The sequence below is a fragment of the Homo sapiens genome, chromosome X (genome assembly GCF_000001405.40).
Source record: "Homo sapiens chromosome X, GRCh38.p14 Primary Assembly".
Classification (NCBI taxonomy): Eukaryota; Metazoa; Chordata; class Mammalia; order Primates; family Hominidae; genus Homo; species Homo sapiens.
This window is the reverse complement of record NC_000023.11, coordinates 29,285,357-29,312,997: the sequence shown is the minus strand read 5'-3', so window position 1 is coordinate 29,312,997 and position 27,641 is coordinate 29,285,357. Positions and strand designations below refer to the sequence as shown.

General features: G+C 36.6%; 1 protein-coding gene across 3 annotated transcripts in view, besides 4 other annotated features; it reads right to left on the bottom strand.

Moving 5' to 3' along the window:
- Positions 1-27,641, bottom strand: part of IL1RAPL1 (interleukin 1 receptor accessory protein like 1) — a 1,369,273-nt gene that overhangs the window by 643,721 nt on the left and 697,911 nt on the right. The window contains exon 1 of one of the 3 annotated variants that reach the window (XM_017029241.2): positions 8,898-18,475. The exons of the other annotated variants lie outside the window; for them this stretch is intronic. The gene's annotated coding sequence lies outside the window, so the exon portion shown is untranslated. Of the gene's footprint in view, positions 1-8,897; positions 18,476-27,641 lie in introns of those variants that run through there. 3 annotated transcript variants of the gene reach the window in all.
- Positions 2,204-2,910: an enhancer, noted in NCBI's record as "NANOG-H3K27ac-H3K4me1 hESC enhancer chrX:29328205-29328911 (GRCh37/hg19 assembly coordinates)". NCBI's record gives its function as "activates a minimal SCP1, AML or CMV promoter by ChIP-STARR-seq in primed H9 embryonic stem cells {active_cell/tissue: H9 hESC(primed)}" and the evidence as "EXISTENCE:reporter gene assay evidence [ECO:0000049][PMID:30033119]".
- Positions 2,911-3,619: an enhancer, noted in NCBI's record as "OCT4-NANOG-H3K27ac-H3K4me1 hESC enhancer chrX:29327496-29328204 (GRCh37/hg19 assembly coordinates)". NCBI's record gives its function as "activates a minimal SCP1, AML or CMV promoter by ChIP-STARR-seq in naive and primed H9 embryonic stem cells {active_cell/tissue: H9 hESC(naive and primed)}" and the evidence as "EXISTENCE:reporter gene assay evidence [ECO:0000049][PMID:30033119]".
- Positions 3,620-4,327: an enhancer, noted in NCBI's record as "OCT4-NANOG-H3K27ac-H3K4me1 hESC enhancer chrX:29326788-29327495 (GRCh37/hg19 assembly coordinates)". NCBI's record gives its function as "activates a minimal SCP1, AML or CMV promoter by ChIP-STARR-seq in naive and primed H9 embryonic stem cells {active_cell/tissue: H9 hESC(naive and primed)}" and the evidence as "EXISTENCE:reporter gene assay evidence [ECO:0000049][PMID:30033119]".
- Positions 15,247-15,970: an enhancer, noted in NCBI's record as "OCT4-NANOG hESC enhancer chrX:29315145-29315868 (GRCh37/hg19 assembly coordinates)". NCBI's record gives its function as "activates a minimal SCP1, AML or CMV promoter by ChIP-STARR-seq in primed H9 embryonic stem cells {active_cell/tissue: H9 hESC(primed)}" and the evidence as "EXISTENCE:reporter gene assay evidence [ECO:0000049][PMID:30033119]".

Below are 27,641 nucleotides of genomic sequence, written 5' to 3'. Positions count from 1 at the left end.
ATAGGTTTAATGGACTCACAGTTCCACCTGGCTGGGGAGGCCTCACAATTATGGCAGAAGGTGAAAGGCATTTCTTACATGGTGGCAAGAGAGAATAAGACAGGAGCGAAAGCCGAAACCCCTTATGAAACCATGAGATCTCGTGAGACTTATTCACTACCACCAGAACAGTATGGGAGAAACCACCCCCATGATTCAATTATCTTCCACCGCTCCCTCCCACAACACATGGGAATTATGGGAGTACAGTTCAAGATGAGATCTAGGTGGGACACAGAGCCAAACCATATCAGCCTCTGTTTCTGTGGTGTATACTGGAGTATGAAGAAGTTAGAACAGGAAAAAGTGGTTGGGGTGGCAAAAAGGAAATAGTATTAACAGCCTCTAATTCTCAAATCAATCTGTAAAAATCAGATGAATTTCTCTTTGTTTAAAGGTATAAATAAGCAACCCATAAGGATCTAGGCATAGTTGTGATTCAAGGACTTAGCTTGAATAAGACAGACTAAGTGTCAAACCCTGGGGAGGGGAATAAGAGAAATAAAAATGCAAAGGCACCCTTTTTGTTTTTTTAGATGGAGTTTTGCTCTTGTTGCCCAGGCTGGAGTGCAGTGGTACGATCTCGGCTGACTGCAATCTCTGCCTCCCAGGTTCAAGTGATTCTCCTGCCTCAGCCCACACCACCACGCCCAGCTAATTTTTTTCTTTTTTTGTACTTTTAGTACAGATGGGGTTTCATCATGTTGGCCAGGCTGGTCTCCAACTCCTGACCTCAGGCGATCCACCCTCCTCGGCCTCCCAAAGCACAGGGATTACAGGCGTGAGCCACCACGCCTGGCCGGGGACCTCTTTTTAACCAGACAATGTCCTACTTGTCCTCCATTCTCCCTCTGGAAACTTTCCCCATGACAAATTTTGATTCTGCACCCACCTGTGTATTCCCACAGTCCTCTGTGTTTCTTAGAACTTACCAGACTGTGTGTAATTATCTCTTGATTAATCTGCCTGTCCCATTAGATATAACTCAATAATGAACAAAACTGTATCTCAATATTGCCAAGCCCCTAGCTCATTAGATGTTAGTTGAGTGGATACATAAATGAATCAGCAAATAAAATAAGGAATCATGTGTAAATGGCCTTAAACATCTTATTCCTTTTTATTAATAATATAAAATTTTTGAAAAGTGTACCCTAATGTTCTTCTCAAAGTAGAAAGAGGAATTTCGTGATGAACTAAATTTGGGAAATGCTAGGTTAGACAAAATTTTGTTCTTTAAAGAAAAATAAATAAATTTTTTTCTTTGTTCTTGAGAACTTTGGAGCTATGTTGTCCAGTACCGTAGCCACTAGCAACATATGGCTATTTACATTAATTTCTATGAAAAAAATTGTTATTCAGTTGCATTAGTCACATCTTAGGTGCTTAACAGCCACAGATAGCTATTGACTATTGTATTGAACAGCAGAGACATAGAATATTTTCATCATCAAGCACAGAGATCTACTGGGTTGTGTTAACTGCATTGATCTAGACAGGCTAGTATTCCTGTGCTCGCTTTGGCAGCACATAGACAGGCTAGTATTCCTGAAAACGATCTTTGGAAAGCCCTGGTAGAGTACATTTTTCCTGAGATTACTCAAGAATTTTTGGACTGCAAATTGTAATGCAACTCTGCCATATTCTTTACTGCTTGATTCATATCGATTACATTTAGACTGAAATATAAAGCAGGTCATTGCTTTTCAAATGTAATGTTCATTTATTGAGTACCTATTATGTACAAAATATCTTTTATGGTTGGAATTTGGTAAGAATAATTATAAGATAAAAGTAATCAAAACAAAAATCTTTATATAACTAGCTCATGGAAGATGTTATATGAGCTAGTTTAAAACCACTGTATACTGCTTTGATCTCTACTTTTGGCAATTTCTAATTGGGAAGAGTCATTCTAAAAGGCAATTTGCCATACTTCATTTTAATCCAGTCATTTGGATGCTTCTGGAAATTTCATGGGGAAAAAAACACCAATTTAGGAAATGGCAATAAGATTTTTCTCAGACAATGAAACAATAAACTTAGAGTAACATCAAAGAAGAGGATGTTTATAAAATTGAATAAATAGGAATGCCTAGAAGAATTTAAATAAATCAAGGTAAATATTTCTCCTGGCAATACAGAAATAAATGCTCCCAGTTTCATTTTATGTCTGAATCAAAATTCAATTTAACTTTTGAATTTACAAAGAAAATTTAGAAAGAGCATTAAAAGCTACTTAGGAGGTGGTAATAAGCAATTTATTCTCTGACTTCTGAGTTTTCCTGTTATTTTGTTACCACATATTTTTCTTATAATTAAAGTTGTGTGTGTGTGTGTGATTTCTCAATTGAGCACCTCTTGGGACAATGACATAAAATACTTAACATTGTCATACTTCTTATTCATTGCTCTCCATTATGTTAATGTTCACATTCCAAAGACAATTATTTCTATTTGTTCTTCTCCTTACCCCATTAGCCTTCCCCATGCTGTCTCATTAGTCAGATTCCAAAAATGATTTTTTGCCCTTTCAAAATTTGTGTTTTAATGTCTTTTTGTTGCTATTTTGCTATGTTCTGTTTTCTAGTTTCAGCTTCTTTGATTTCTGCTTATTCTACCAACTAATATAAGAGAAAAGAAGTCAAAATATAATTTTTATAAATATAAAGCCATGAACTTCATACGGATATAGTGTGAGCACATGCCAAAGCTTTAGAGGGAATTACAAGGATGACAAAGTTGGCCCAAATAGAATGCCAGAGACTAGGATTCTTTCCTTAATAAGCTCCCGACTTACCCTTTTTTTGTTTTTTTTTTTTTCCTTTCTTTTTTTTTTTTTTTTTTTTTTTTTTTTTTTTTTTTGAGACGGAGTCTCGCTCTGTCGCCCAAGCTGGAGTGCAGTGGTGCAATCTCGGCTCACTGCAAGCTCTGCCTCCCGGTTTCACGCCATTCTCCTGCCTCAGCCTCCCGAGTAGCTGGGACTACAGGCGCCCGCCACCATGCTCGGCTAATTTTTGTATTTTTAGTAGAGACAGGGTTTCACCGTGTTAGCCAGGATGGTCTCCATCTCCTGACCTCGTGATCCACCCACCTCGGCCACCCAAAGTGCTGGGATTACAGGCGTGAGCCACCGCGCCTGGCCAGTTTTTTTTTTAGACAGTGTCTCCCCAGGCTGGAGTGCAGTGGTGTGATCTCAGCTCATTGCAACCTCCGCCCCTGTGTTCAAGTGATTCTCCTGCCTAAGCCTCCCGAGTGGCCGGGGTTACAGGCGCCCGTCACCACGTCCGGCTAATTTTTGTATTTTTAATAGAGATGGGTTTTCACCATATTGGCCAGGCTGGTCTCAAACTCCTGACCTCAGGTGATCTAGTCGACTTGGCCTCCCAAAGTGCTGGGATTACAGGCGTGAGCCACTGAGCCCAGCCCCGCCCTTTTTTTGGAGCAGTTATTTTAGAAAACTTTCCATTGTAAATGTATTCTCTGTCCCTTTGAGATGTAAATCTTCTACATCCCTGGAATGTCTTTCTCAAGCACCTGGAAGCCATTCTTTTGAAATCCAATCATCAAGAAAGATAACATCCTCATTTCTCAGTCTCTGTGGGAGGGTAGGAGCCTAATTTTGATAAGCCCAATCACCCTGACCGACCTTCCCCCTAGTGTCTTCCAGTGCTTTTCCTCTAGCTCACCCTAAGGCTTAAAACCTCTCCTGCCTTTCATTTCAATAAAGTTGAGTATACTTTCTTGCCCCTATTGCAATAGTCTTAACTGATATTACAATAGCTTTGAATAAAGTTTTCCTTGCCATTTTTTTAACAAATGCCTGGTGCAGTATCGCTTTGACTAAAAGAGATAGAATAAGATTGCAAAGTTAGATACAATATTGACTTATGTCCTATAGGACAACAAAACTGCAAGTTTTGATAATCCCTGCAGCTGTGCTAAGTAATAACTGAGCTATTTGCTGGTGTTTAAGATAAAGCCCTAGCTAGACCAATTTGCATTTCAATGGGGGACTTCCTGAGACCCTAGTGGCTTCCTCATCCAAATCAGTTAGGGGGCATTGATTTCTCCTTTAGGGAGACCCTGAAGATGTCCCTTGGAAAGAGTTACTCATCCTTGTTGAGGTCTCATTAACTAACATCTTGCCTGAGGAAAGCCAGGACGCTTGGACAATGTTTTCTATTGATCATTTCTATCGTGGGCTACAAGGGGGATGTATAATCGCCACAATGAAGTCAAGGACAGATCCTTAAGAAATTAGAATTTTGCAATATACGGGTATGTGGTGTGTAATAATTTAGTCACATGAGTGCAATTCAGTATAATAACACATATTGTTTAATTCTGTTTCACAGCAGTCCTAAAGGTTTGGTATCTTCTCCCAGTTTGCAGATTTAAGAAATTAATCCTATTTAGTGAGTACTGGGGCTCCTCTACTGTTTTTCCTTATCCAACATTTTCTCCCTTCTTTTGTTATTAGCATGTAGTTCAAGTTGGACTGATTCTCTCTGGTTCTTATGCCTGAGAACTGGTCAATCTGAATATTCTATTCCACTGGCCACCGTGATTGGTTCAGGGATGGACATATGAGGCCAATGAGAGCCACACTTTGGATTTTTGTTGGAGATTTAGGAATGCATGATGTCTTTCTCTGGCTCTGGTGGCTAAGACAGTAGAATCTAAGACTAGAGGAGATAGGGGTCATCTTTGCCTACCTAAGAATAAAGCCAACACCAAGGAAAGAAGTGGGAAAAAGAGAGAATGTTTCAGCTGTTATCATGTGAGCCTCTAATCTAAATCCAGACATGCCTAAAAAGCCAGGCTATCCTTGGACTTTTCAGTTCGTGAATCAAAAAAATCCCTTTCTATGCTTAATCAGTCTTTGATCTCGGTTTTCTGTCACTTGCAACTGAAAGAATCTTGAAGAAGACAAGCTCAGAGAGTGTTATGGACTGAATATTTGTGTCCTCCTAAAAATTCATATCAAATGTGATCAAGCAGTATTGATAATTTTCTTTCTAAAGATTTTAAAAATTTCCTTTGGCAGTTTTCTAATACCATGTATGCAATAACCTAGTTACTTGACTTTTTTCATCAATTTCCAGATTTCATCAGTTCTAAGATGTGCATTTTGCTTGTATTTTATCATCTCCAAAATTGGGTATATCTTTTATGATTGCTATAAGAAAGCATTGTTGATTGTGTCTCTTACTATATTTGGCATCTTACATTCAGTGCAATAAGATAAGTGCTTAGATATAATTTAAGAAGCTTTCTATTAAGGGAAAAAAATGTACAAATGATGACAATGTTTTCCACTTATCAAAATAAACTTTTGCAATTGTGTTCAGTTTCTTCAAGTGCACAAATTTTACATTCTTACATTTCCCATTTATGCTATGTATAGTTCTATCTTAGTTCCAATTCACACTTCCTGTAGCTTCTTTTTTCTCTGCTGTTATGGCTTTTCATAACTCCTTTTTTTCATCATCTCTTTATTTTATTAAAATTTATTTAAATTTATTAAGCTGTTTTTACATGATTATCTTCATAATTTTATTCATAAATATTGAACACTTCCAAAGGAAATAAAGTCATGACTTCTGAAACTTCAGGAAAAAATAATTTTAAAAAATATGCAGTGAAATAAGCTGCTTGATCAGTACTTGACAAGGGGTTTCTGAAACTTTCAGAGTCAATTGAGTTACTTCAAAAGAACATTAGAAAAACATATGCGGCATCATTAATTCAGTCATTAATCCCTTTGGGGAGGAGTTAACCAGACAAAGAGGTTAGGATGGAGGTTCCAGATAGATTGAATAGCACAGACACCAGTACAGCAGCATGAAACAAGAAAGCTTTAAAAAATTAAAATAGTTCTGTTGCTGACATGAAAGATGAGTAGGGGAAAGTGCTTTGAAGGGACACTAAAGTAGTAGCTACAGGAGAGACGGTAAAGGGCTTTTGTGTTTTAACACAGTTTAAATATTATCTGGAAAGCTTGAAAAATCATTGAAGGATTTTTAAACAGGAGATAACAAGTTCACATTTATATTTTATAAATATCAATTTCTTTTTTTTTTTTTTTTTTTTTTGAGACAGAGTCTCACTCTGTCACCCAGGCTGGAGTGCAGTGGCATGATCTCAGCTCACTACAACCTCTGCCTCCCGGGTTCATGCCATTCTCCTGCCTCAGCCTCCCAAGTAGCTGGGACTATAGGCGTGCACCACAACGCCCAGCTAATTTTTGTATTTTTAGTAGAGATGGGGTTTTACCATATTGGCCAGGCTGGTCGTGAACGCCTGACCTTGTGATCCACCCACCTCGGCCTCCCAAAATGCTGGGATTATAGGCATGAGCCACTGCGCCTGGCCATAAATAAACTATTTCTGGTTTTTTCGTTTTTTTTTTTTTTTTTTTTTTTCTTTTGACAGAGTCTTGCTCTGTCACCAGGCTGGAGTGCAGTGGCACGATCTTGGCTTGCTGCAACCTCTGCCTCCCAGATTCAAGCCATTCTCCTGCCTCAGCCTCCCGAGTAGCTGGGATTACAGGCACCCACCACCATGCCCAGCTAATGTTTGTATTTTTAGTAGAGATGGGGTTTCACCATGTTGGCCAGGATAGTCTTGATCTCCTGACCTCGTGATCCGCCTGCCTCGGCCTCCCAAAGTGCTGGGATTACAGGCGTGAGCCACCGCGCCCGGCCCCCCATAAATATCAATTTCTAAGCAGAGAGGAATAAAAATGTCTGACAGCTGGATTGGAGGGAATTAAACATGTGAGAATTAATGAGAGATTAGACTACAACGTAGGTAGTAATGGACACTGGGGATCTGAAGATCTGGTTTACTATCAACCCACCATCAAAAGTATATGGATTCTATTGCCTCTGGGTTTCCCATCACCCCCAACCAAGTGAGTCATCTTCCTCAAAGAGATATTAAGGTTGAATTCAGGATGTCTGTCATCCTTAGTTTAACAAATCAATGCCAAAATTGTAAGCATCCCCTCTCCAACACACTCATATACATACACTTCTACTGCATTAGCATTTCTATAATGCTATTATTCATTCATTCATTCATTTATTCATATTCTGTGCCCACACACACATCTCATGGCTCAAATTGTTTCACTGTACCCTTTGATGCAATATTTCCATACTCATATAACCGCTCTAAATCCTTAGTATCCCCTTCTCTTCTTGGTATTCACCCAATCAAACCTAGCTCTCCTCTGTGATTATCACTTCTCCTACAGCTATCTCAGGTGGTGCTTATTTACTTCCTCATACTTTTTGCATTTCAGAGATAGGGACTGGGCTTGATATCCTTCCTTCCTATTCCAGCTCCTAAATAATAATTCATCCACTCTCTTCTCCACAATCCTGCTCTTTTGAAATGCATACCAGTTGGTTCTATAACTCTTTTGCCCTCTTGTGCATTTTCATGTCTATGCTGACTCCAGGAAGGTTTGGCATCTGGTTTATGGATTTCCTTCTCACTCCAAGCTCTGCCACTGTCCTTGGTGTTCTCAAGATATATAAGGATAACCCATCATAACCCTATGAATGTTCATCAGGATAGGCCAGATTACAAAATTGTCATGACTTTTTCAATAACAAAGTTACATTTTCTCACTCAAGCTACATGTCTACCATGGGTGAATTGAGGTTTATGTTCTATGTCTCCACACACCAAGATCAAAGTTTGATCTCAGTTAAATCAGCACAAACTCAGATAAGCCTCCCCTGATTTCTCAAATCATCAAGTCAATACCACCCGGTTATAATTTCACATAAAATCATGTATCTTTCCTCTTTAACAGCTGTTATTTTTGCAATTTTACATTTATTTGTGTGATTTCTCATTGGGTTTCTTGCTCATTTCTCTATGAGTCCTATGAAGGCAATGGCTGTGTGTGTTTTTGCTCACCCTAGGTTCTTCAATGATTAGCACAGTCAGCAGCACAGACATCATAAGTACTTCTTATATTAAATAATGGGTAGAGGGAAGAATAGTTGAATGCATAAATGGTAAGGGCATTGCTTGTACACATGCATGCCCTGAGGCAGGAGAATCACCTGAACCCAGGAGGCAGAGGTTTCAGTGAGCCGAGGTCGTGCCACTGCACTCCAGCCTGGGCAAGAAGAGTGAAACTTCGTCTCAAATAAAAAACAGCTACAAAAATAAAATTGTGAGAACCAATTTAATTTTTAAATTTCTCTTATCTTTTCAAGTGTAGAAAAAATTTCAAACATATACAAAAGTAGAAAACACTACACAACTCCCATATACCATCATCCAACTTCAACATTTATCAACATAGCGCTTATTTAATTTCATCTATATCCCTACCCATCACCCCAACCACACCCAGATTCTTTTGAAAGAAATTTCTGACATCATACATCTCTTTTTTCAAAGTCATTTTAAGTACATATTTTAGAAAAGACAACTTGAATTATCTGAGGAAGAAACTCAATGCTCTGCTAGAAGTTTGCTAATGTGATTAAAAGATATTTTAAAATAATTTCACTAAAATTCATTATTAAATAAGCTTGAATTTCAAAGGGCCAGAAAGGAAAGAGAAAGCTGAAAAATAAATACTTCCTGAGTAATAAAGGGGCAGTGTTGGTCCTGTGGATATTCATGTGGGTATAACAATCTATTTATTTAGAATCAGAAAAAAAAGAGTTGCCATTGAAGCCAAGAGAAGGAAGAAATCTAACACTCATCTGACTTCTGGATGAGACTCAAGGCTTTCTTGAGGAAAAAAAAAAGCAAGAAAATAGTTATTTTCCATAAGATAATTAGTACATATACTGGAGGGGACGGGCAGGTATGTAACTCACTACCAAGTTCCAGCGACCTGAGGATTTTCTCACAATGAAGCGTCCAATAAGTGTGTGCCGGTGGAGGAGGAGGAAACTCTTGTTGGCCTAGACACAGAGGAGGTTTAATGAGGCAGAAATAAAATTACACATTTAATTCTCCCTCTAAGTATATTTTTCCCTCAAAATAGGCATTAGAGTTAAGTAATTTAGTTGATTGAAATGTTTTAACAAAGGCAGCTTTTTTGATAGAGAAAAAATTAGTCCATTAAGTATGAAGTACAGATATTAACAAACAAAGATGCTCACTAACTGGCATCTGTTCAAATATAGGTGTGGGAAAAATGAAAGGTCTTTGATTGACTAGATTTACTCATTCATTAATAATAATCGACTTGGTAGGTCCTAGGGCCCAAATACTTTATGTAATTTCTATTTAAAAGTTAAAATTTTGTACAAGGCTTACTGACACTTTGGTTTACGTAACATATGCAAAGCTTCTTTCATGTTTACTTCCATTTTTTTCATGAGACGCTCTGAGAGATTAAGAGTATCATCCAAGATTCATGCTGTTAGAAATCTGGATCTAGGAAGTACTCTAGGTCTTCTGGTTAGAGAGTTTTTATACTGCTGTATTATAATACTTTTCTAAAATAGATACAATTATAAAGAGACTTTAATATAGGTTTCATATTTATACTAAAACCTTTACGTTGTTAAACACACACATTTTACATCATCAACATCTGTCTACTCTCTGGAAAGTCATCATTCATAATTTACCCCTAACATTTAATGCATGGCCAAATCTTATTAAAACAATGGCCTAGTAGCACTCCCAAACTTCCCCGGATTACCACTATCATGGCCTAAGTCCAGACCCTCAACACCTCCCATCTTGTTAGTTCTTTAGCTGATTATGTCAGTGCCCCACCCAAACGTCTACCGTATGAAGGCTGCTTCTTACAAATACGTGACACCCTCAGTCTGATGGCTTTTGTCTGGCCCTGAGACCAACCTTGGTCTTCATGAAGGGCAAGCCAGAAATGCTAGAGAACTAAGATTCCTAGTAGAAGAAACCCTCAATCAGGAACAGGTAGGGAGCTGGTAGAAAAACAACCCAGTTTCCTCTCCCTTCGGGTATAACTCTGAGAGTATGTCTACATTGTCTCACAGAGTTTTCCAGTAAACCTAATTTCCAGTTGCCAAAAGGGATAAAACAGCTTTATAATGCATACTTTACTGGCTTCCCTTCTCTGCTACATCTTACTTCCCCATTCCTCTAGTGATGTTTCCTTGCGGTTTGTTTCTAGAGGAGTCCAATCTAAGACAACCCTGTAGTTAGATGCTACTCTCCAAGCCCTCCATTCAACATCCCCACACACTGCTGCTAAATGACCGCCCCAAAACTCAAATCCAATTTTTGTCATCCATCTGATTAAAGTTTTTCATTGTCTCCCTGAACCTTTTTGTGTAAAGTTTCAGCTCTCCCGTTTTGTACCCCAAGACCATGAACTGATCCTTTCCAACTTCTCTAAAAATGACCCAAGTCATGGGAACTTTACTATAGTCGTGGACAATTAGAAGAATATATAATGACTGTAGCCATATACTATCTTACCACCTAGGATCTCCTCCAAATCTCCTTTTTCATCTCCTTATTTCATCCAGGTAAGTTTTACTTCTGTATCAGAACTCAATATTTAAATCTCCAAGAAGCCTTACCTGATTTTTATTCTGAATTACACATCACATCTATGTGCCCATTACACTCTGTTCTTTTCTCTGTTGTAACCTCTGTCATATCAGACATTAAACGTTGAGTGACTTAACTTTCTCTCTTGAAAGACTATAAGATTCCTAAGAACAGAGACTTTGACTCTTGTTCATCACCTGGCCAAAAACAACTCTCATAAAGAATTCATTAGATAATTGTCTGAATGACTGAATATATAGAATAATTTTCTCTGCGACATTTAGGCCATCCTGGATCACTGTCTTCAGGTCCTAAGAAAAAAAAAGTCAAACACCTGAACCTGAGATTCTATTCTTGGGTACTTCCCAAATCTATCCAAAAGTTAACTTTCTAGCTTCTGTTTCTTTCCCACGCACCACTTTGCACTTTTCACTCCAGCCACGTGTATCTGTTGCTTTTCCCTTCTGAAGCTCTTTTACTAAATCACCATGTCTGGCCACTCCTACTGTGTAAAATAACATGCCCTTTCAATTTCTCTGGGAAGAAAGATCTATCTCGTGTAGCCTCAGAGACCTGTCTTCTGTGTATCCATCCCTGAGTCTCTCTGGTTGCAACAGCTCTTTGTCACCATATTTTTAACAGCATTTGCCGTACAGTGATACAGATAATTTTTTATGAGTCTGTCTGTTTGCCTGGTTGACTGTGGCATCTTCAGGCCAATTTGTGTCTTGTCTATTTTTATTCCTGTGTGCAGAAAAAAATCCAGGCCTGATGTGTAGTAGATGTTCGATAAATCTTTGTTGAAAGTACAAACGGAAGATAACATTTCAGTTGAATTACATATATTAAAAAGTATGTGTGTTTATGTATACATGTCCATGAATATTGTCTAAATAATTTTCATGTTGGATACTTATACACAATGTGAATATATACAGTCTGGTATTCGATAATCAAACACTACTAATAAATCAATTTTAAAGAAAATGGTAGCTATGTGGCAGAAAATAACATTTTTATGTGAGTAGCAGGAAAAGTATCTGAAGATGGACATAAATCTCCCCTAACAAGAAAGTCAATCCAAAGGTAACAATGAAAACATGTAATGGCAACAAATATATTGAGTCTTTTGTCATGTAAAGGCACCAATAAAAACTATAGTTCTTTTAAGATCTGAGATCTAGTTAATGTTCAGAGTAAACAAGTCGATGGTTCCACATTCAAACAAAAGAGGGAATTCAAAGCTGCCAAATTTATAGCCTCCTCAGACCAGGAGAGCCACAAACAACTCTTGCTGATGAGGAAATTACGGCAATTACAAAAACTGTCAAGGGAAATGTATGATAATATATAAAAATTTCATGGCTTGACTTTAAGATCAGAAATTAATATTCATGATAAACGTCAGAGTCAAGGACGTAGAGCTTTGCACTCTAGAGTTAAAGATCTTAAACTCTAATTTTAGAGTAGTCATTAAGTACTGTTTAGACAAACAAAAATGTTATTTCCTCCAGGGGGGGCGATTAGGGTAAAGAGAGAGCTGTCATATTCACCTAATGAATGAAAACAACATTCAGAGATTAAGCAAGTTTGATATTTTCAAATCTTTACTTTGTAAGCCAAAGCCTTTGAACAGACATCCACAGCAGCAATTTTCATTAGAAGTATAATTCCTTGGAAACGCCACTTTAGAAACTAGAACAACATTTTTATTCTTTTGTACTAGCTATCTACATGAGATTTCTACACTGTGTCAACAAGGTTAACACACAGGCTGTTATTCTGCACAGTATTGGTTTCCTTAATTAAGAACTTTTCAGAAGGTTGACTAATCTGCAGTGCTTATTCATTTGAAGATCACAGCAGAGGAATCTGGAAGGCACCCTGCTATATCTTCACTACTAATGATTCCATTTGTAAATTAAATTTAGCCTAAGAGGTAAATAGTTTGCACTAAAAAAACTCTCAAACAGTAACTATAGAGTGCATCTGTCACATTATAGAAGGAAGATGTGTCCTTTATATTCAATCTCCTGATGTTTTGGGAGGAGATATATACCTTTTTTCCATTCACTTTCAATCATTAATTCTTGACACTCCAACATGTGCTGGGCACTGTGTTAGGTGCCGGATGTCCACCACCAAGAGACTATTACAACAAGATTATATGAAACACCATGTTGACTTTGAATTAGTATGGGATAGAACTCTCTTAAAAGGATCATTGTCTTAGTCCATTTTTTGTGTCGCTATAAAGAACTACTTGAGGTTAGCTAGTTTGTAAAGAAGCGATGCTTATTTAGTTTACAGTTTTGAAGGCTGTACGAAAAGCATGGCACCAGTATCTGCTTTTGTTGAGGAACTCAGGCTGCTTCCACTTATAGTGGAAGGCAAAAGAGAGCAGAGATCACATGATGAGAGCAGAAATAAGAGAAAAAAGGTGGATGTGCCAGGCTCTTTTAAAGCACCAGCTCTCCTGGAAACTAAGCAAGAACTCATTCACTGCTGAAGTAGGCTATTAATCTTTTCATGAAGGACACACCCGCATTACTCAAACTCCCATTAGTAACACCTGACCTCCAACTCTGGGATCAAATTTCAACATGAGGTTTGGGGAAACAAACATCCAAACCATAGTAACCGTTATCACTTGAATATAAATTCACAAACTTAATGTGGATAAGAATCATCTGTATGCATGCTGATCCATCAGATTTCTGATCCTTGTTTCCCCAGAAATTCTGATTCAACAGTAAGTGGTAGGATCTAGGAATCTGTTTGTTTGTTTTATTCACTAGCACCTTGGTGACCTTTTTTAATCTAATTAGACATACGATTATAATTTGAGAAACCCTGAAAAGGGGTTTCCAAGCTTTTTTGTGTCACATTTACCTTAAATGACTTATAAAAACCTATTATTTAAAGGTGACATCTATTTTTGTATGTTTAAATAATTTTAGTTATTTGTTAATAGGAGAGAGAAAATACTATATATTGTATAAATGGAATATGATGAGAATTAACTAAGTGGAATACATAGTACATGATTTAATGAAATAGGCTTTCCATGTGTTATTTTTGGACAATGCACATCAAATATGAAAGAAAACAAATGTATTGGTCAGGGTTCTCTAGAGGGACAGAACTAATAGGACATATATATGGGAATTTATTAAGTATTAATTCACATGATCACAAGGTCCCTTAATAGGCTGTCTGCAAGCTGAGGAGCAAGGAGAGCCAGCCCGAGTCCCAAAACTGAAGAGCTTGGAGTCCAATATTTGAGGGCAGGAAGGGTCCAGCATGGGAGAAAGATGTAGGCTGGGAGGCTAGGCCAGTCTAGTCCTTTCACGTGTTTTTTTTTTTCTGCCTGCTTTATATTCTAGCTGTGCTGGCAGCTGAATAGATGGTGCCCACCCAGATTAAGGGTGGGTCTGCCTTTCCTAGCTCACTGACTCAAATGTTAATCTCCTTTGGCAACACCCTCACAGATACACCCAGGATCAATACTTTGCATCCTTCAATCCAATCAAGTTGACACTCAGTATTAACCATCACAAGTAAAGTGTGTTCCTGAGTTTTATCAAATGCATCTTGAAAAAATGATAGTCCTATAAAACATTCCAATTACACTGACACAATTCAGTATCACTACTATATAAGGCTTTGGCTGTTCTGAATTAGGAATATACCAACTTTGATTAAGCACTGAAGTTATCAAAAATTCCTGAAACACAGGCAGGAGAAGATCTCTGAGTTTAAGGGGCCTTGAGTTTTCAAAGTAATATTTTAGACTATCCCTTTGTTTGGCACCCTAAGTTCTGGGGCAATGCATCATGCTACAATTTGGGAAGGAAGAAAGGTGTGCCTTTCTTTTGTAAGGTGGAGGAAATGCTATTCTGAGATTTCAGGCAATTTTAGACAAGAGTACATGTGAAAGTTGAGGTTCTGGAGATGAATTTCCTTCAAATTATTTTTTTCGGAACAGTCTGTGGAACTTTTGTGCAACCTCAGAAGTAGTCAGATTTCAGTTTGAAGAGGTTGAGCCTTTGAGGGAGAGACTATTTACCAAGTGGGCTAAGCCAGCCTGTTGCCTGATCTTAAGGCACCTTGTTCTTTCTCTTCATAAAAGTTAGGATCCAAGTAATTACTGTTTCAAAGGCTCTTTTCTAGAATAAACTTCCAGAAGAGACATGTTCTATTCTAGCTTAATTCTACTGTGGTTTAATTCACTGCTGTGCTCCCAACAGCTGGCCTAATGGCTTGCATAGAATAGATACTTAATAATCTAAAAGAATAAATTAAATAGATACAGTATCAAATATTCCTAGCCAATTTAATCACATTAACTTACATGCAACTAATTCTAAAACTTCTACAGTAACAGAAATAGTAGTCTTGTTTTAATGTAAATTAATTGTTAGCTTATCATTTAATGGATTGGCTTATAGAGTCAAGAATAGAAACACAGCCTAAGCCTCAATATCTAGAGTAGATGGGGTAAAACTTTGTTGTCAGATTGCTGCAATCATTCTTCAAATAAATTAGCCATTGGAAATGAATGGATTGAAAAAAATAATTGTATTAAAATCTTACTTTTTTAAGTAAATAAAGGAAGATCTACCTGAATAATCAACAAATTCAATTACAAAATATTTTTAATAAATTATTTTTTATGAGTGCACTGATTAAGAAATCAAAAGATCCAGCTCGATTTTCAGTATTTCTAAACATTAGTTTTGAATTTCTAGAAAGCCAATACTTCTTTGGACTTCCTCCATTGTTTATCTGTAAAACTAAGCAACCCCTACAGTGAAATCTAAAATCTTTTCCATGTTTACATTACATGATTCCAGGCTAAATAAGAGCTATCCAGAAGAGTTTCTATTCTAAAACAGTAGCCACAAACAGCTTGTAATGACTATTTGAAAACAAAGACTAAGATCCACATGTGGCTATTTAAAATTAAATAACATTAAAAATTCAGTTCTTCAGTTGTATTAGGAGCACGTAGTGACATTGGGAATGGAAGCCACATGCTGAGAATGGCAAAGCATAAAGCTTTAGAGCCTAAGTCATGCAAAACGTTGAAATTATCATAAAAGTCCAGGAATGCCTACCTTATAACTACTTTACGTGAGAAACTAAACTATCTTACTTAAGCTGCTTTTCTGTAATATGAAGCCTAACTAATCCAACCTGGTGTGATAGTGCTTTGAAATGATGCTTTATTCTTTCTTTATTTTTTGGCTTTAGAACAATATAAAACATTTTCCTGAAACCATTGGACCAGACTTCAAATTTGACTCATTCACTCCATAATCACGGCTCTTATAGAACAGTCTTTTGGGACCTTCATGAGAAAAAATTGATAGATCCAGATCTATAATTGTGAGATATAATGAAATCAGTGAAATGCTCATTTAAGTCTTTATTTTATAACCTCAGATTTTGTATAATAAAACAGTTACTCAATGGATACTTGCCTGAAAGTCAGAAATGTCACTGTAAAACCAACATAAATCTAGGCCAGAGCAAACCGATGAGAAAAGCCATACCTATTCTTCACCAAAGATTTAAAGAAGGTGAATATAAGCAGGTTATATATATTCTAATCATAGTTGTCTGGCTATTATTTCCAGGGCAAGGAGAATTTTTCTGGAAACCGGAACTTAAAATATTTGAAAATGCAGGAAATTTGCCAGCTAATTCTTCAGAATGCCAGTGAGGTAATTCTACAATTGGTTGTGAGTGTGACTTAGAATCTGAGTAGAGGAAATAGCTATTGAGGGCAGGATGCTTGTGTATGTACTGGGGGTAGGTATGGTGGTACTGAAAGTATTAACATTTCTTAATACTTTCAAAAATGGTAAAGGATGGCTGTGGAAATTAAAAAAAAAAAAAGAAGGTTGTCCAAGAATATGCATTACTCATTCTACAAATACTGATAGAGTACTAACCATGTACAAAACAGAAATAGGATATTGAGTCATCTCAGTATGTGTGAAGGGATACTTTTGGCTCTTACAAAAATGGCTACTAATTTTCCCTCAAAATCTGTCCTCCTTCTTCAGTGTAGCAGATGCTTTTGACATCCCACCCAGAATTTCTTCACCAGCTGTTGTACTCATTCTCTAGCTGCTGTGGGTACTAGCTGGTCAAGGCCCATAGCTGTACCCTTTTCTTGATAATCACCTTGGTATGACAAGAACCACTCAGATAGAGATACTTGCGATGTCCAGGCTTGCTTCAATGTGAGATTAAACTCTGTGATGCAATTTATGCACCACAGCTCCCTGTGGGATCAGGCTGAAGCTAGACTTGAAAACACATCTCTGCCTGACTTCTTCCCTGCAGGTTTTTTTCTGAGAGCACTCTCTTCATAGCTCACTTGCACAGGAATCCCTATCTTAGGCTTTTCTCTTAGGGAAATCAATTTGAAATCCTTAAATTAGTAGTATTTTTATCAGGCACATGGGTTTTACTAACAAAAACTACATACCCAAGCCATCACTACAGCTTGGTGTAGTTATGTGAACAAGTTCTGGCCTATGAATGTAAGTAAAAGTGATATAAGTAACCTCTGGGACTTGTTCTTAAAGGTGGGAAGGATCATGTCCTTTGTTCCTTTCAGTCTACACCTTCGAGCTTGTAATAGCGTAGATATGATGGACAGAGTTTCATCTTGGGAAAATAAGGATGAAGACCATACCCTATAGAGGGCAGAATCCTGAGGCCTAGACAATTAGGCAGCCAATACATCCGCTCTGAAATTTGGATATATTGGACTTTTCCCTGACAAAGTTCTCTCCTGTTTAAGCCACCGTTATTTCTAAGATTCTTGTTATACACAAAGCCACCCCCAAACTGTGACAACTAATCAAAAGATTTTACTCTGTTCAGATCTCAGTGATCATATATGTGTAATAAGAGATGCAAAGATGCAAAGATGCAAAGTTACACCTTTGCCTTTAAGATGATCTAAGGGAAAGACTAATAAGCAGACCATCAGAGAACCTAGAAAGTACCCCCAAACTCCTTCCTTTATTTATTCAAATGCTCTATGGCAAACCAGCGATGGGGGAACTTTATTTACATGTTTCCCTGTCTAATAGCTTAAAGTGTAGGCGATTTTATTTCTCAGAGCTTGAGTTGTTTTGGTAAAAATGTTTAGGTTTGTATTGAAAAGCATTAAGATAGGCCTCTTGCTGTCTCTTTTACTTATTTCCCATAGCAACATCCAATGAAGCTCAGAATATATCCAATCAAGTATCATCTCTCATGGATTTTTTTCTTCCAAAAATGACCTTGAATCTGTTTTATTTTCTTTGGCACTTCTACCATTAATACTCTAAACATAGGCCCCCCATTGCCTTATGCCTCATTTATTGTAAACACTCCTTGTCTGTTTTCCATTTTCTAATTTCTCTGGTTTCATAGAATTCCTGTAAGGTACTTCCAGGAAAACTGCTTTCTGTTTTCCATTCCCTGCTTGATATTTCTTGGCATTGAAGTCTTAGCATTTTTTTACCATTATTTACAGTCATCCTTCTAACTATCACCTACAGAAAGCCCATTTTCTAACAACACTGATCTACTTGCTTTATCAGGAATATATTGTAGCTTTTTCTTTGTTAATAACAACAGTTGCTACTGTTGGCTTTGCTATTTGACAGCTGCAAGGCATTTTCTAGATCAGGGGTCAGCAAACTGTGACCCACAGCCCAAATCCGTCCCACCACCTGTCTGTGTAAGTAAAGTTTTATTGAAACACAGCCATGTCCACTCATTTATATCTTGTGTATGGATATTGTCTAGCTATTACAACATAGTTGAGTAGTTGTAATAGAGACTATATGGCTTGAAAAATCTAAAATTTTTTACAATTTTACTTTTTTTTTTTTTTTCTGAGATGGAGTCTCGCTCTGTCACCCAGGCTGGAGTGCAGTGGCTTAGTGCAAGCTCTGCCTCCCGGGTTCACGCCATTCTTCTGCCTCAGCCTCCCGAGTAGCTGGGACTACAGGCACCCACCACCACGCCCGGCTCATTTTTTGTATTTCTAGTAGAAACGGGGTTTCACCGTGTTAGCCAGGATGGTCTCGATCTCCCGACCTCGTGATCTGCCCACCTCAGCCTCCCAAAGTGCACAATTTTACTCTTTATAGAAAAAGTTTGCCAACCCCTGTTTTCATTCATTATTTAATTTTTCTTGTAGTAGTCTTCCTGAAACCTTTTAACAGAAATCTTTCCCAGTTACACTTTCCCTAGCCATGAGTTTAGTCTTGAAACTACTGCTCAAATCACAAGTCCTTCATACGCTCTTTAATCAGCCCCTTTTTGTCTTCTCTACATTCCATGAGATTTTTATTCATTTATTTTTTTTTTTTTACTTTAGGACCACACACAAAATTAGATTTAGAAAGAGCCTGGAATAATCTTAACTTCCTATTCTTTTTCACTGATCTCAAATAAGTGATTACCTTATCACTTATCCCAAATTTTGCTGATCAGCAGCTACTACTTTATTAAGCCTAATCAATTTCTCTTCACTTAGTGCATCAATATTAGCAGTTAACATTTTATTTTTTTTGGAGAATAGTTTTTTACAAATAAAGAACAAATAGTAATAATCACAGTATAACCCTGTATAGCCACCAATAAAGTCCTGTTGGGTTGTAAGTGATTTGTTTGCCTGGCATATGTTGTTTGTAATTTTTAAAATTCCCTCATTATAATTACCAATTATGTCATGTCCTAGATTTTCAGTAATGTTTGTGAAATACGATAAATACACATGTTATATCCATGGTTGAAAAGGGCCTATGGTGATTCATTTGACCTAAAATGGAAAACAAAAAAGACTACATAAAATCTCAAATTGGACTTTATGCACCTAATTATTTTACAAATGTATCTTTTCCAGTACTCTATCTACTCCATATTAATTTGATACTTTTTGAAGAAAATTTATAAGTCTCTGCCTTGAACATGACACAATTGATTTCAAAGAGTTCTCAAAGCTGTCTCTCCTATAGGACTTGGTAAGATTAGACAAAGCTTTTCTTAATCCAGTGATCTAAGAAACTACCCCATGATCACTCCAGCAGAATTTATTTCATCTTCTTAGTAAAAAAAAAAAAAAAATAGGCTGTTTTGTTGAAGACATGTATTTCCTAGATGGTTAAAAAAAATCAGTAAATCAAATAGACATTTCACACAGCTCTTGGCTTTTACTTCCATCAATTGAATTTGTTGTTTTTGAAAAGAGCACAACCCAGAAATATAGCAATTTGGCTAATTATTGCTCTGTTAAAAGTAGTTTGATCCATTAGAAAATGTCTTCGTGTCTCAGACATGGAAATATGGCTTAAACTTCAACACCATCTCCAAGAATCATCAGAGTTATCCAGCTGAAAAATCTCATTGAAACCTACTATGGCAAGAAAGATGTCTCTACCAAAAAACTACAGAAAGTGCCTGATGTGCAGTTTTACAAAATAAATATATTATCTATAAGAGACTCTACATCCAAACTTGAAATCTTATTTTAAAGACTTTCACTTGTATATGACTTTTTTTTTTTAAAGGGACTGGCTTATGTAGGTTTAATTGCATTTTTATAACCTATAAATTATAGCTGATATTCTCAAGGGTATACTATGGTTTCAATTAAGAGAGATAGTTTAAAAATTAGGAAACCAAGATTGTGAAACTACACTAGATCCTTGGAACACATATGCACACAATCATTAAAATTACTGGGTAGGATATAAAACATTTATACGGACTTTGATTGCCCTGAACAAATTATGAAGACTCCTTATGGCATAAATGTTTAAGGCTTTCTAAAATAATGCTGACATTATATATCCTTTGATTCAAGAATGACTTGATTTTTTAAATAACTTACATAAAAATTCATAAATATTAAAAGTATACTGTATCATACAGATTTTTAAAAATTACTTAAATTGTTTATACTACAGTTATAGCAGTTACTTGTTTGGGTCTATCAGATCTAACACTTTATTAGTTTTTATTTCCACCAGGTGACAGTAAAGGTATATTCTGTCAAAAGACAGAAAATTGTCATCTGAAATACCAAAAATCATGATTTAGGACAAGCCATTCATAATTTGTGTTGGTTTCAGACAAGAGATGTCATAAGAAAAAGAATTATTTTATTTTCTTATGGAAAATGATAGGAATCAGAAAATTGTTTAATTTTGTCTATAGCAGTGTTTTCCACAAGGTATTCTAAGGAACACTAACCTCAATCACTCATTATTTTGTTCAATAAATATGTATTGAGTGCTTTCTCATTGACAAACACCTCATATTGATTCTGAGGGGGAAAAATGTCTGTGGTAATATGTTTGGTATACAATGCATACTCCATCATCCAGAGAAAGTAGCTAAGAAAGTCTATGGGGCAGACTCTAAGATTCTTAGCTAGGAGGGTCTATGAGGCATGCCCTAAGACTAGCTAGGCAAAACTCATTTAAGAATCTTTGGTACATTGTCCTCCAGCATCCTGACTTGAACAGCAAAGTAGAGGGGCATCTTTCCTGAAGATATTTATGGGTGTGGCTTCTGCTTCATGAAGTGGATTACAACTTAATACATGGAAGCTTCACAACATTTTAAGGAACGATACTACCTTATACCAAAAGGGATAAAGTTCAAATTGCAAAGAGGCCTGGGCCATTAATTTTATATAGAAAGGAAGAGCATGGACCCAAGAATATCAGAGAACCACTTCCAGTAACCAGAACTGAGCCCTAATTAAGAAGTGGGAGTTGAACAATAAGAACACCTGGACACATGGAGGGGAACATCACATACCGGGGTCTGTCGGGGGGTGTGGGGCTAGGGGAGTGATAGCATTAGGAGAAATACCTAATGTAGATGACAGGTTGGTGGGTGCAGCAAACCACCATGGCACATGTATACCTATGTAACAAACCTGCACGTTCTACAAGTGTATCCCAGAACTTAAAGTATAATAAAAAAAATAAAAAATAAAGTATATTTACTCTCCTTGGGAAAAGAATAAAATAAACTGGTGCCATGTATCCAGCTGAATTTTAGAATTGCCATGGGCCAGTGACTGCTCTGTATCTCCTATCCGCAGCCCCCATTTCAAATGGGGATATTTGGTTTAGCTATGTTATCCCTATCTCACTATTTATGTTGGCTATGTGAGGGCCAAATTATATACCTTTTTAGTTCACAGAGTTTTGGATGAAGAGCAGCCACTCCTGAGCAGTTGTATTCAGGGAACTAAGCAGGAAGAACCTCATTCACACTCAGAGCTGACTTGGATAATAAGATCATCAACTTCTAACCTAATCCTGATGCCACAGAAAGATAAGACTTTGGAGGTTTTAGGAATGGGGTCACTATACTTTGCATTTATAAGGACATGAATGACAGTATTAAGGGTCAAAGGTTGACTCTTAGACTGTTACTTTGGTGGTCCTACCAATGAACCACACCTCAAAGCCCTTGTAAAGTCTTCTCCTTTATTATCTCAAAACTCGGCTCATGAGACATCAGTAAGCATGACTCAAGGAGATGCTTGATAAGCAGTTATACTTTCTGAGTTGCCACATAAAAAGTCTGGCTCACCTGATAGATAAATGGAAAAAGCACATGGAGAGGCCCTCAGAAATAATAGAGAAACAGGCTCAGCCAACCCTGTATTGCAGTGGACTCCAGCCACAGGTGACCACAGGCAAGATCACTGGAAGAACCACCTAGCTGAGTCCAGCCCACATTGCAGAGTCACGTGCAAATAAAATGGTTATTGTTTTAAGGCACTAAGTTTTAGTGTGTTTTCTCCCCAGAATAGGTAGAAGAAACAATTGTTTTTGAAGTAATTATAGGAAAGATAGAAAGAAAGTAAACATAAACTGGATTTTCATCCAGAAATAAATATGTATTGTTCAGGTAGGCAATGAAAATATTGAATTTCAAATGAAGGAACAAAGTGAAAAAATGATAAGAATTCATGCCTTAATCTGTGAGGAGCAGACAGGATAGTGAGAACATGACATGTTGCCATGTCATTCTTCAAGTTCTGAGGTCTTTCTCAGAGGTATTTCTTCCATCTTTCAGAGACTTCTTATGCTTGTTTGCCGTTACATGCAGACTTTTTAGTTGTAAGAAGGAAGACTTAAGAGGAACGGGGCTACTCTATCTCGGCAGAATTCCACTGAATTCTAAACTATTTTCATAGTATCTGCAGCAATTTATTACACACTTATTTTCTCTTAGGTAAACTACTTGAAAGTAAAAGCTTCTCTTTAAATCTTTTAAATCCTACCATTAGCATAGCATGAGTGAATAAATGGATGTTCTTTAAGTACTTTTTGATAGATGCTTACTTACTGTGTTCTTTCAATGAGAAAAAAGAGTTACATAGTCCCAAAAGGAAAAATCAAGACTTGAGCAAATGAACTACATGCTAGATATAACACATTATAGATATGTCATTTGAAAAAAATATGTTTTTAAAATGTTAACACAAAAATCAATCACATTTTCACATAGTAACAATGTACATGTCGAAACCAAAATTAAACAGAAGATATCATTTACAAACATTCCAAAGAAAATGAAATACTTAGTTAAAATTTTAACAAAATGTTTATAGGATTTGTATGCTGATGAAAGAAACCAAAGAAGGAAGTCCTAAATACGTGGAGGCACATACTGTACTCACAGATAGTGAGACTCAATATGGTAAAGATATCAATTCTCCTCAAATTGATCCATAGGCTTAATGAAACTGCTATCAAAATTCTAGTAAGGATTTTTGTAGACATAGACAAACTTATGCTATAATTTACATGAAAAATAATAGGCCCTATAATAGCTAAACACAATCTTTAAAAAGACATATAAAGTAGGAGGAATCACTCTAGTTGATATTTTCACCACCATATAGCTATACTAATCAATACAGTTTGGTATTGGCAGAGGGATAGACAAAGGTATGGAATAAAAAACACAGAAATTAACCTACAAAAATATGCTCAATGGATTCTGAATAAAGATGCAAAAGCAATTCAATGGAGGAAGCATAGCCTTTTCAACAAATGGTGCTGGGACAACTGGACATCCAACCCCATAAAACTAAGACTTAACCTAAACAAACATCAGTCCTGAAATAAATATTAATTCAAAATTAAGATTTCATGATGAAAATGCCAAAAGTAATTGCGACAAAAGCAAAAATTGACAAATGGGATCTAATTAAACTAAAGAGTTTTGCACAGCAAAAGAAACTATCATCAGAGTGAACAGACAACCTAAGGAATAGGAGAAAATTTTTGCAATCTGTCCACTTGACAAAGGTCTAATATCCAGAGTCTACAAGGAACTTAAAAAAACTTATGAGAAAAAAACAAACAACTCCATTAAAAAGTGGGCAAAGGATATGAACAGATACTTCTCAAAAGAAGACATTTAAGCGGCCAACAAACATATGAAAAAACGTTCAACATTACTTATCATTAGAGAAATGCAAATCAAAACCACAATGAGGTACCATCTCACGCCAGTCAGAATGGCGATTATTAAAAAGTCAAGAAACAACAGATGCTGGCGAGGTTACAGAAAAAAAAGGAATGCTTTTACACTGTGGGTAGGAACGTAAATTAGTTCAACCATTGTGGAAGACAGTGTGGCGATTCCTCAAAGATATAGAAACAGAAATACCATTTGATGCAGCAATCCCATTACTGGGCATATTCCCAAATGAATATAAATCATTCTATTATAAAGATAAATGCATGAATATGTTCATTGCAGCACTACTCACAATAGCAAAAACATGCAATCAACCCAAATGCCCATCAATGATAGACGGGATAAAGAAAATGTGGTACATATACACCATGGAATACTATGCTGCCATAAAGAAGAATGAGCTTAGGTCCTTTGCAGGGACATGGATGGAGCTGGAAGCCAGTATCCTCAGTAAACTAATGCAGGAACAGGAAACCAAACTCCACATATTCTCGCTTATAAGTAGGAACTGAACGATGAGAACACATGAACATAGGGAGGGGAACAACACACACTGGGGCCTGCTGGGGCTGGGCAGGTGGGCTGGGGGAGGGAGAGCATCAGGAAAAATAGCTGATGCATGCTGGACTTAATACCTAGGTGATGGGTTGATAGGTGCAGCAAACCACCATGGCACACGTTTACCTATGTAACAAATCTGCACATCCTGCACATGTGCCCCAGGACTTAAAATAAATAAATAAATACATAAAAATAAAAAATAAAAAATAAAATAAGCATTTCTTCAAAAAATAGATTAATTCAAAATTAATTACAGACTTAAATGTAAAATGTAAAGCAACTGAATTTTTAACAATTTTTTAAATCTTAAAAATAAAAAATAAAACAAGGAAAAATCTTCAGGACTTAGCACTTGGCAGAATTTTTAGACTTCACACCAAAAGCATGGTCCATAACTGGAAAAATTCACAAATTGAAACTTATCATAATTAAAAACTTCTGCTTTGCAAAAGACCCTGTTAGAAGGACAAAAAGATAACCTACAGGCAGTCAGAAAATATTGGCAAACTACATCTCCAAAAAGAATTAATATTTAGAACATACAAAGAATTCTCAAAATTCAATGAGGAGGACATAAATAATTCAATTATAAAATGTACAAAAATATGGACATTTTACTGACAAGAAGAGAGATGGCAAATCAACACATGAAAATTTTAATCATTAGCCATTAGGAAAATGCAAATGAAAATCATAATGAGTTATCACAATATGCCTACCAGAATGGCTACAATTAAAAGTAGTGACAATCGCAAATGCTGCAAGGATGTGGAGAAATCATACATTGCTGGTGGGAACATCAGATGCTATAGCTACTTTGAAAAATAGTTTGGTTCTTTCTCATAAAACTAAGCACACAACTACCATTCAATCCATGTTCACTCTTGCGCATTTATTCCAGAAAAATAAACTTATGTTCACCAAAAATTGAATATGAATGTTCATAGAAGTTTCCTTTTTAATATCCCCAAACTGGAAATAATAGAGACACCCTTCAACAAGTGAATAAATATGGTGGTAGTCCATACCATGGAATACTACACAGCAATAAAAAGGAATGAACTATGGATATGTACAACAACTTGGATGGATTTCAAAGGAATTATGCTGAGTGAAAAATCCAATTCCATAAGGTTCTATACTGTATGATTTCATTAATATTGCATTAATAAATTAACAAAACTATAAATATAAAGAATAGATTAGTGGTTGACAGGGGTTTGGGATTGGGGTTGGGTAGAGATGGATGTAGCTATAAAAGAACAATAGGAGGGGCCCTTGAGACGTGATGGCATTGTTTTGTATCTTGACTGTATCAATGTCAATATCCCGATTATGATATTGTACCACAGTTTTACAAAATGCTACCACCGAGCAAATCTGGGTATGGCATCTCTCTACGTTATGTCTTGCAACTGAATATGAACCTGCAATTATCTCAAAAATAAAATTTTAATTAAAAATAGGGTGCCAAATAACTTAGCATGCTACCATTTGGGGGGCACTGGAATGCTTCCACATATACCAGCTAGCTTTGCATATGAAACTGCTAATAGGGCATAACTATGAAAAGGGGAATTAAAAAGTTGGAGGTCAAGAATACGGAACTATTATTTTATTTTATTTCATTTCATTTTTAAGAGACAAGGTCTTGCTCTGTTGCCCAGGCAGAAGTGCAGTGGTGTGATCATAGCTCACTGCAGCCTCAAACTCCTGGCCTCAAGAAATCCTCCCACCTTATCCTCCTGAGTAGCTAGGACTATAGGTGCACACCACCACACCAGGCTAATTTTTAAACAGTTTCATTTTTGTAGACACGGGGTCTCACTGTGTTACGCAGGCTGGTCTTGGACTCCTGGCCTCAAGCAATCCACCTGCCTCTGCCTCCCAAAGTGCTGGGATTACAGGTGTGAGCCACCACACCTGGCCACCAAATTTTTATTTTTTTAAGAGTAAACTTGTTTTTATATATGGCCATAAAATAAGACAAAAGAAATTGTTACATAGCTTTCCTTCATTCACTTTTTCATGTAAAAAATAAAATATAAATTTAAGAATGAGTAAACTGAGTAAAGAGCCAGTAAGTATGGAGCAAAGAATTGTGTGGTATTATTCTGTCCAAAATAGATATTAAAGAAGGAAATAAGAAAGTTCTTGTTCATTATAATGATAGGAGTCTTAGGTGTTTCCATTATGTATGCCATTTAATTGCATATATTTAAGTGTAAATGGAAATTAGTTGTATATGAAAAGCTTGATAAACAATTTCATTGACAAGTTAATACTCAGAATATTTATCAGAAAGACTAGAACCTTAGAATGGATGCTAACATTTTCAAGCCTCTAAAATTCTTTGCAAGTGGATTATTTAAAAACTAATGGTGACAGTTTAGTGGCCTGATAGCTAACAATATGCCAAAATGTCAGTGACTCAACTGACAGCCCTTGAGCTCCTCTCACGTCAACACCAAGCCGTGCTATTTCAAATGCTGTTTGTAAAGACTTTTGAGTACCCCTTTCCAAATTGGAAAAGAAAGCTGTAACAACACTCCCTTCAAATTGATTGGCATATTTGAATTTCAGTGACAAAAGTATCTCTTCCTGCAGTTTATCCCTTTCTCTAGATTGCCACTTGACACACATAAACTTTAAAGTATTTGTCTTTTAGTTTCACCTTTTATTAAAATGTAGACATATGAACATATGGCAAGTGTCATCATTTTGGAAACTTTTCAATCTTTCATTCATTATTGCAACTGGTAATTCAGAGGCTTTTTTTTTTTTTTTTTTTTTTTTTTTTTTTTGAGACGGAGTTTGGCTCTTGTTGCCAGTGCAATGGCGCGATCTCGGCTCACTGCAACCTCTGCCTCATGGGTTCAAGTGATTCTCCTGCCTCAGCCTCCCGAGTAGCTGGGATTACAGGCATGCACCATCATGCCCGGCTAATTTTGTATTTTTAGGAGAGATGGGGT